The following is a 10107-nucleotide window of genomic DNA, read 5'->3' on the forward strand; positions in this document are numbered from 1 at the left end:
TATTGACGAAAGAATATGGTTGTCCCACAGGTGACCCATTAATCAGCCAAGGATTGCTGACCTAGAGTCCATGGATGGATTTCAGAGAAGTAGTGAATGTTTGAAAATTAATGTAAAATGTTTGCATGCATTTTTCTGCAGAGAAGGTCCGAAGTTTTCATATTCTAGAAGAAGTCCATTACATTAAACTATGACCTATTTGAAGGTAGGAGCTGGGTCTTGTTCATCAATGTATCCACAGCACCTAGCACCTTGCCTGGCAAATTTGCTGAATGAACCACAAAGGCAAAGAGCTAGTCAGGGGTAGGATGTTAAATTAACCAAGTAGAAAGCTGGATAGTAGGGATGTGGATAAAATGGAGAGATTCTGAGAGGTGCCAAACATAGGAGAAATTTGATGAAGAAACAGTGAGTACAGCAAAAAAGAAACCAGAAACAAGTGTCTTCTCACCTTCACAAGCTGGGAGTCACCCAGGCGAGACCCGACAAACACAACACCATTATCAAGGTATGTCAAGCACTCAGCAATAGAGGTCTGGAAGAAAGTCAGCAACGTGAAAGAAATGAGAATGGACCCTACGTGGGATCCAGATACTACCCACATCTCAGACATCTGCTGAGAAAACTCCCAACTGCAGCCATAATTCAGAACAGTTCTGTTTCAAATTCCCAGGTCACACTAAGCAAATGTTTCTAAATCTCTGAAGTTTTTGATTCTTCATCTATTGCATCCCTACACTCAGAAAAATCTATAATTTGTCTTGCATATTCCTGCTCCAAAAGATACTGCCTAAGTATTAATATTAAACTTTTTGGGAGCCTCCTCCCAGAACTGAAATCAGCAATAATCTTTTTTTTTTCTTTTTTTGAGACAGGGTCTCACTGTCACCCAGGCTGGAGTGCAGTGGTACCACCATGGCTCACTGACTGCAACATCGACCTCCCCGGGCTAAGGTGATCCTCCCACCTCAGCCTCCCGAGTAGCTGGGACTACAGGCACACACCACCATACCCACCTAATTTTTGTACTTTTTGTAGAGATGGGGTTTTGCCATATTGCCCAGGCTAATCTCGAACTCCTGGGGCTCACACAATCTGCCTGACTCAGTCTCCCAAAGTGCTGGGATCACAGGTGTGAGCCACTGAAACCAGCTAGATTGATCTTTAATTCCAGATTATATCCTTTTCTGTTTCCCTTTCTTTTCCTTTTCTCACAGGCTGCTTGGATAGATTATCACAGGATCCTGTGAGATGCTCCAATACCTAACTCATTCAACAGTCAACTTCCACAGCAGGAACAACAGTTTGTTGTTAGGTGTTAAGTAACATAATTCCCAGAGTTGAGGTGTGGGACCACACATTTGGTGTCTTTAGGAACCTAAAAGAACATTGTAGAGGAACAGGGAGAACAAGCTCTACCTCTCCAAGGAGTTCTACACGGAGATCCTTGAGAGTGACGGTGCCATCCATCTGTTCCTCCTTCTCCAAAAGCAGCATGAAGAGCCGGCCTTCCATGTCTCCCAGCAGGTATCTTGAGCCATTAGGGTCCACTCGATTGTGGCACACAATCGTGCTTTGCTGCCAATTGGAAGGAAACAGTCATTAGAGATTCAGCATCTTCTACACCAGAAAACAAACCCTACTGGACCACTCCCTTTACCAAACCCAGCCATTTTACCAGCAGACAAATCGCTCAGATAACATTACATGAAAATGAGGATAGATCCTATTGCCCATTAATAGAAAATGGGGAGCTTTTTTATTTTGAAGATAATTTTCTGAGGCGCTCCATCAATATATCTTATATGTTTACTGATATGTCGTCATTCTGCAGGAAAATAGAAATACACAGAATAGGAAGCTGCTGCCAAAATCTACTGAACTATGCATGCTACTACAAATGTTGTTATTTATTCTTAATACCACTAATTACCCCCTACCACTGTGGCAATGCTACCACAGATTTTGTTCTTTTTTTTAAAGACAGGGTCTTTCTATGTCACCCAGGCTAAAGTACGGTGGCTATTCACAGGCATGATCACAGTGCACTGTAGCCTTAAACTCCTGGACTCAAGCCATCCTCCCAAGTGGCTAGTACTACAGGAACTTGCCACTGTAGCCAGCTAGATTTTGTTCTTTTTTCTCAAAAAGAAAGTAAAATGAAACTTTTAAGGCTTAATTTTTACAACTTGATATTCTAAGTCCTTGACATTTTTGACTTTCTTAGCCTTTATAATTTATCAATATATTACTTTATATGACTTGAGCCCTGAAAACATTACATGCAATAGAAATTGCCAAAATTACGGCTGGGCACAGTGGCTCATGCCTGTAATCCCGGCACTTTGGGAGGCTGAGGCGGATGGATCACCTGAGGTCGGGAGTTCAAGACCAGCCTGACCAACATGGAGAAACCCCATCTCTACTAAAAATACAAAATTAGCCGGGCGTGATGGCACATGCCTGTAATCCCAGCTACTAAGGAGGCTGAGGCAGGAGAATCGCCTGAACCTGGGAGGCGGAGGTTGCAGTGAGCTGAGATCGTGCCACTGCACTCCAGCCTGGGCAACAAGAGCAAAACTCCGTCTCAAAAAAAAAAAAGAAACTGCCAAAATTTTCCCCTCTTAAAGTTGCCCCATGTGGTAGTTCATGCCTGTAATCCTAGCTACTTGGGAGGTTGAGACAGGAGGATCACTTGAGCCCAGGAGTTCAAGGCTACAGTGAGCTACGATCATGCCACTGCATTCTAGCTCTCCAGCCTGAGCGACAGAGTAAGACCCTGTCTCTTTGACAAAAAAAGTTGCCCCAGTCAATGAAAAGGGGAAGCCTATTTTGATTATCATTTATCTAAGTTAGCAAGCAAGTTCTCTGTAAGCAAATCCAGGCTAATCTCTCTCTGTATTCCCAATGGCCAACGCAATACCTTATATACATAGTAAATTGTGTAACAGGCATCTGTGAATCTCCTTTTGATAAATAAGAGAAAGGGAGGAGCAAGGTGAGGACAAGGAAAGAAAAGATGAAAGGAAAAAAAGGTAGGACTGCGCTCACCTTGATGATAGGAGGGGCAATAGCCAGGTATTTGTCACCATTGTGATAGGTGATTGACTCCTGTCCAATGATGATGGCCCCCCCAAAGGGCTCTGGGACTGCAGGAAAGACAGCAAAATTAGAATGCTCAGCACTCTGGGTCTGCCAAACCAGGACTGGCAAAAGTACAGGTCTAGTTAGCCCCAAGGCAAACTTTAAGGTCATCATTATTTTAAAAAGGACATCAAAGCCCAGGGAACATGATAGCCTTTACGAGACTCTTAGAATTTGTTAACTGGCCATTATCTAATCCTGGTAGTATTTTTACTGCCACTCTTCTGGTGTTCGACTATTCCTATGGGTGGGGAGTCTTCTCCATGTTCTTCCCCATGCATTCTCCCCCATTTTTCTTCTCAACTTCTAATCCTTTCCAAGTAAAAGCTTTTACTTTTTTTTCCTGGTTTCCACTCTTGTTCCTTAGCTTAACTTCCCCCCATTATCAGGGCTACCACTGAGAAGAGCCAATTTTCTCTTAAGAGTTTTAAAACTTCCCTACTGAGTGAGACAAACATAATGTAGGGGCAGACTTAGGACAAGGAGTGAAGAGGCCTGGATTCTAGCCCAGACTTTGTCAATCATGGACAGGCATGGGCAGGTCCCTCTGGCCCTGTTTCTTCATCTATGAGGTAAAGAAATCAGATAAGCTCTATTGCTCCCTTTCAGTTTTTTGTTGTTGTTTTTTTTTTTAAAGAGATGGGGTCTCATTATGCTGCCCAGGCTGAACTCAAACTCCTAGGCTCAAGTGAACCTCCCACCTCAGCCTCTTGAGTAGCTGGGACTATAGATCCTGGCTTCCTTTCAGTTTTAAATGTTATGCCCAGCAATAAAATAATGAGACTCATTTCCATATGCCACTGTGCAAATCAATCTCAATGTTTTATAGTCAATCCCTCCACCCAAGTAAAAGACAAGTTATACTTTTGGGGGGAGAAGTGAAAAACAGAAAATCTCAAAGACAGAAAAAAACAAAGCACAATTAGAGAAAGAAAACATAAAGGAGTGGTAAACAATGCACACCTTCAATAATACCGAGCGCCAAAACGAAGGGCAGAGAAGGTGAGGGAGCGAACAAGAACAGGGAACTAGCCTAGACCCAGGTGGAGGCACATTTCCTAAACCCCCTACCAACCTGCGATCACCATGGAAGCTTCAGCTTCGACATTTTCCTGTTTCCAAGGGCCCTTATTGAATTCCTTTTCTCGGAGAGACACCTCATAGGTTTTTACGTGCCGCCCCTGAGGGTCCTGGGGGGGAAAGGTAAAATGGTTAGCCCTTAGGAAGGGTGAGCCTTGGGCTAGAGAGAGGTGCTGTAAGGAATAAGCCACCACTACCCAGCATCTGACAGTCCTGTCATGTCAGCCCTCCCACCCTTATCCATCACTATACTGACAAGCACTAGCTGAGCCTGGGATGAATTCCTAGGTAGACTGCAGCATCTGAGATCTACCATTCTTAACAATTCAACCAACCAAGAAAGGTTTAAAGAATTAGAAAAATGAACTTGTCACACTGCACTAGGTACTATAAGAGATACTGTGTGCCAGGCACAGTGGCTCACGCCTGTAATCCCAGAACTTTGGAAGGCTGAGGTGGGCAGATCACCTGAGGTCAGGAATTCAAGACCAGCCTAGCCAACACGGCAAAACCCCGTCCCTGCTAAAAATACAAAAATTAGCTGGCATGGGGGCGCGTGCCTACAGTCCCAGCTACTCGGGAGGCTGAGGCAGGAGAATCACTTGAACCCAGGAGGCGAAGGTTGAGCTCCAGCCTGGGCGACCGAGCAAGACTCCATCTCAGAAAAAAAAAAAAAAGAGATACAGTGTGTGTGCCTGTGTGTGTTCCTTAGCCTCGAGAAACTTACAAAACAGCTAAGTGAAACACGCACTGATAAGCTACACCTATGAGATTTTTTTTAAATTGATACAATTCTTAAAAGCATTCTGATGGAATAATGGTAGAGAGAACACAATTGATTGCTCCGCTAAAGTTGTCAAAACTTTCAGTCCTGCCATTGTCAACATCATCTTCCCCTCCTTTTTCTGAATTATGACTCATGTCAGTCCTGGGACTGCCAAGGTCACCTTTAAGATGCTAAAAAGCAGGGACCAGAAGAAAGCTACACTCAGCCAGTGGAAGACAGCTTCAACAAAGAAGTTATGGAAGGAATTCAGCAATGTGTTTCAGGGCAGGGATCACATCTTAGTCACTGTTACAGCTCCTGAAGCATGAATACCTTTCACATAGCACTAAGTACCTAAATATTTGTCAAATTGAATTTCTGGCATAAAACAGAAGATAGTAATTTTTGGCTGATGAAAACATTTTCCCATCAATGAGTAGGGTTATGACACAACTTTGCAAAAAGTTCAAGTGTGGATTTGGGCCTCTGAGACACACATGCAGAAATGAAGATCTGATCACAGCTGGCAGCCCTGAAGCTTAGAACAACCAGCCTTGAATAATCAACAACATCAAAGTTTTAATGACCTAATATTACAAAACTAAAGAACATAGAGAAATTCTAAGTTTTTATTTTAACTCATACTAAGTAAGATCAAACAAAATCTCCTGGTTTCAACCTTATTCAATTGGGTCTTATTCCAATAGCTTCAGAACTACAGTAACACTAAGAAATATACAAAAATATATCAGCACCTCCAACATATAACAAGGCTATCAAACTGTTTATGTGCCAACACACTCTATGTGGAACTGGACTATCATTTCCTTCCATCACTTATTCAGCCACATGCAAATGAAATGATCTTATGCTGCATGGCCCTTTGTTAAAGGGCTGAGATTTTACCAAGATACTGGCATGTTAGTCTGGTGCTCTACCACCCCACCCCCGCTTAACAGATCTGGACCAGAGAACAGCTGCCCAGGATCAGCTCTGCTACAGTTTTAGGCAGACTAAAATAGAAGTTAAGAGCCAGCAAGTTGCCGAGCACGGTGGCTCACGTCTGAAATCTCAGCACTTTGGGAGGCCGAGGCAGGCGGATCATGAGGTCATGAGTTTGAGACGATTCTGGCCAACATGGTGAAACCACGTCTCTACTAAAAATACAAAAATTAGCTGGGCGTGGTGGCATGCACCTGTAATTCCAGCTACTCAGGAGGCTGAGGCAGGAGAATCGCTTGAACCAGGAGGCGGAGGTTGCAGTGAGCCAAGATCAGGCCATCGCACTCCGGCCTGGGCAACAGAGTGAGACTCTGTCTCAAAAAAAATAATAAAATAAAATTAAAATAAGCCAGCAAGTCACCAGTAAGTGATTACTGGACAAAATGTAAACCTCTTCTTAAAAAACACATATAAGGCATCACCAAGACAATTTCTCTTTGCTTAATATAAAGGCAAGATCTAGATAATTTCTTGACAACTAAGTTTTAATAATCCCCTAGCACTCCAGTAAGAGAATCAAAGTATAAACTGGGTCATCCTATGAAATCTCCCAAGGCCCACAACCAGAGTGTAATCTCAGGATTAAAACCTGCTACAAGCCCCAGAGAGCTTGCTGCCTCCACAATAAGTACTACTGCACTCAAGAAGCAACGAAAGTCTGACCCATATTAATTGTGTTGTTCAAAACATTTCAGGACAAACACATTAAACACTTCTCTCTATCCTACCAAACCCAGACATGCCAGTTAGCAAAAACAACTCCTATCACATCAACCTCACAGTTTCTCGCTCTCTCTTCCTGATCCAGTACCTGGTAGACAAAGCAAATAGTAGGTGCTTGGCAACCATATAGGAACTTGACATCAATGACATGCAGCTCCTCCAGGCGGATGTTGAAGGCCTTGAGTTCTTTATTATCGCGATCTAGTGGAATAACCTTGAAAAGGCCATCATAGAGACGCAGGCCAATCATCCGGCACTCAGGGTCAATGATGCCAATAATGCCGGTCTCTGAGGGGCGGCCAATGCGGTCCTGAGAAACAAAATCGGGATTAGGGAAGAACCTCAACATCCACAGAGCAACAGAGGACGCTGGGCACCACTTGTGCAGAAAAATTTTAGGAGAGGTATTAAAACTAATGGATCTATTTGATAGGCCAAATAGTTGGAGCCCCAATGTCAGTGCATGCCTTTTTCATGAAACACTGAATCTCAATGAATTATTACCCTGTCCCTTGGGTCTTGAGTGAACTACAGGAGTCCTTTCTCCAAAAAGCTCAAACCCATAGTGTCTTCTCCTTATTTCTCTGATCGAATAGAGAGCTGCCCCCAGCACTTTAATTTTTTCCATGAATCATGACAGCCCTACTTAGAAAACTTTCATTGGCCTAAAGCAGCCACCTCACCTGGACATTGCCATGGGCTCGCGTAATGATGTCAATGCTCTCGCCACTCTGTTTATACTCCAGGATGCAGGCATTGTACTTCGCTGTCAAGATAAACAGCAGGTCCTTGCTCTCCCCCTGGAAACCAATATTATGCTATCAAAAGAGGTTCTTTTTAAAACAGGAACAACCTGTCCAGTCTTTAAGCACACCAAATTCTTTAAGAATTTTCCAAATTCTTCTCTCCCTAAAGAGAAAATACATGGTGAGCTTGTAACCCACACTAGGTACACATACACCCTAAGGGCATGTACAAAAAGCCAGAACTGAAGCTGGTAAACATCTAGTTCTCACTTTCATGATTCTCCATCTCTCTGTTCTACAAACAAAGTCTTCATCTATTTCAATCTCAAGCTAATCTCAATCATCCCATTCAAATTCTGAAAGATGAATGTAATGCCTCCTCCACTCCTCCCCAAGTATTTGAAGAAAGAGGAAAAAAAATGTGGGAATAACAACGGAAGCTAAAATGGATCAACAAAGTCCTACTTATTTAACACAGACTCCAAAAAATTGCTGTTTTGTTCAAAGGGTTATAATTAAAATTTTGAACCCACTGCTTTCTTGCCAGATTCAGTTAAGACAACATAAAGCAATGTGGTGGTGATTTGGATGAAAACATTTGCGCTAAAATAATGAAAATACTGATGGTAATTGTTTTTTTTGTTTGGTGTTTTTTTTTTTGGAGATGGAGTCTCGCTCTGTCACCGGGCAATGGGCGCCATCTCCACTCACTGCAACCTCCGCCTCCTGAGTTCAAGCAATTCTTGTGCCTCAGCCTGCCAAGTAGCTGGGATTACAGGCACGTGCCACCACACCCGGCTAACTTTTGTATTTTTAGTAGAGATGGGGTTTCACCATGTTGGCCAGGCTGGTCTCGAACTCCTGACCTCACGTGATCCACCCACCTCGGCCTCCCAAAGTGCTGGGGTTACAGGCGTGAGCCACCATGCCCGGCCTGGTAATTGTTAACATAACTGTAAATGCTTGCTATATGATAGGCCCTATGTTACTGAATCATTTCATCGTCACAACAACCCAGGGGATTTGATCTGAAAGGTGCCTTAAGTGGCACCTAAAGTCAGAATTAACAAGAAATGAAGCCAGGACTGCCCCACTCTGTAGCCTATCCTCTGAAACAAACTGCTTTAATTTCTCCCTTCTAAAGAAGTCAACTTCATAAATGTTTCCCTAATGAATCTCTCCTTTTACTTCTAGAAAGCTTGGTCAAGAGTACATACTGAAATTTGCTATCCAAAGAGAGAAAAAAGAGAAGAGTTTTTCTCCTAAAGCATATTCCACCCATCCCAAGAATTCGCAAAACAACCTAACACAGCCCAAGCACGGTGGCATGCCTACAATACCCCAGCTACTCTACTCCAGAGGCTAAAGTGGAGGGATTGCTTGAGCTCAGGAGTTCAAGACATCCTGGGCAACACTGTGAGACCCCCGTCTCAAAGAAAATAAATAAACAAACAAAAATAACATAAAACAACCTACGACCAACAGTTCCCCCTCCACTGCTTGTCCCAACTGCAACACTTACCTTGGGCCTGAAAAGCTCCATGACCGCAATCTTCCCATACATGCCCACCTCTTTGACGGGCCGAAGCCCCTCGGCGGTGACCACATAGATCTCTAATCTCGTGTTTTTGGCAATCAACAGGTTTAAGTCTTCGGCCGAAGTAAAGTGTCCTGAAAGAACAGACCCTCTAACTTTTGAACTCAGGGGAAGGGCCTCCCATCCCTTCAAAATAATCCTATCACTTATGTCTAAATACCTCCAGAATTCTCATTTACTTCACATACTTCTCCAACTCCCTCCAGCTACTCCCCTTCTTGCCAAATCCGGCACCTCAAAGAGTCTCAGTTCATGCATTCAACAAAGCTACTTCCCTAATCAGACTAAGAAAACTGGACTGGACCTAAGAGCCGTGTGTCCTCCAAATGACAATGACTGCGTAATCCCTTCTCATGCCTCTTGCCCCTCCAATTTTACTCTATTACAGTTACAGTGGCAGGCTCTAATTGAGAATGCCGGAGAAAGTGTTCACTTCTTCCAGTCTTCATCTAAAGTCTCACAAAACTTTTATCTGACAGACCAAGTCAAATGAAGAAGTCCCAGAGCTTTATATGAAAACACTGTTTTGTCCACACCCCCTGCCCTCCTGGCAGTCTACCAATACCTCCATCCACACTCAGCTACCTCCAACTCTGAACAACAGTTTTGTTTTGGAATCATGATTAGGGTGTATATAAACATGCAAGCTTGGGGTCTGCATATTCAGCTGAGAATGTGGGTTAAGATGACTCTTCCCGGGTTCTGAACATCGGTGTCCTTAACAATCCAAGCGCATCGTCAACAAGGCAAACCCAGCACTGGGCCAGGCAAACCAAACCCTCTTCTCCAGCAGGGCCCTCATGTAAACAACAGCCCCAGGCAAAGGGGTTAGCCTGAAGAGGGCTCCTCTCCCTCTGTGGGATAATGCGGGCATTCCTCACATCCCTCCACCTCCTGGGCCCCCCAGACTTCCCCACAGGAAAATCTTGACCCCAAAGTCGTCATTACCACCTCCCCTTTTCCTGGCCACAGAAAGCCAATCTCCGGGCCCAAACGACACCGCACAACCAACTCACACTCCTCTGTCTCACTGGGCCCGCCCTGTTCTC

General features: G+C 43.9%; 1 protein-coding gene across 1 annotated transcript in view; it reads right to left on the reverse strand.

The window, feature by feature from the left end:
• DDB1 (damage specific DNA binding protein 1) overlaps positions 1 to 10107 on the reverse strand; it is a 33655-nt gene that overhangs the window by 23109 nt on the left and 439 nt on the right. Inside the window, exons 2-8 of the mRNA NM_001923.5 lie at positions 8984 to 9132; positions 7399 to 7515; positions 6804 to 7025; positions 4220 to 4334; positions 3052 to 3149; positions 1420 to 1578; positions 452 to 535 (exon numbers count right to left, since the gene is read on the reverse strand). Coding sequence (NP_001914.3) covers positions 452 to 535; positions 1420 to 1578; positions 3052 to 3149; positions 4220 to 4334; positions 6804 to 7025; positions 7399 to 7515; positions 8984 to 9132 — 944 coding nt within the window. The remainder of the gene's footprint in view (positions 1 to 451; positions 536 to 1419; positions 1579 to 3051; positions 3150 to 4219; positions 4335 to 6803; positions 7026 to 7398; positions 7516 to 8983; positions 9133 to 10107) is intronic.

This window comes from Homo sapiens, chromosome 11 (assembly GCF_000001405.40).
Source record: "Homo sapiens chromosome 11, GRCh38.p14 Primary Assembly".
NCBI classification, from domain to species: domain Eukaryota; kingdom Metazoa; phylum Chordata; class Mammalia; order Primates; family Hominidae; genus Homo; species Homo sapiens.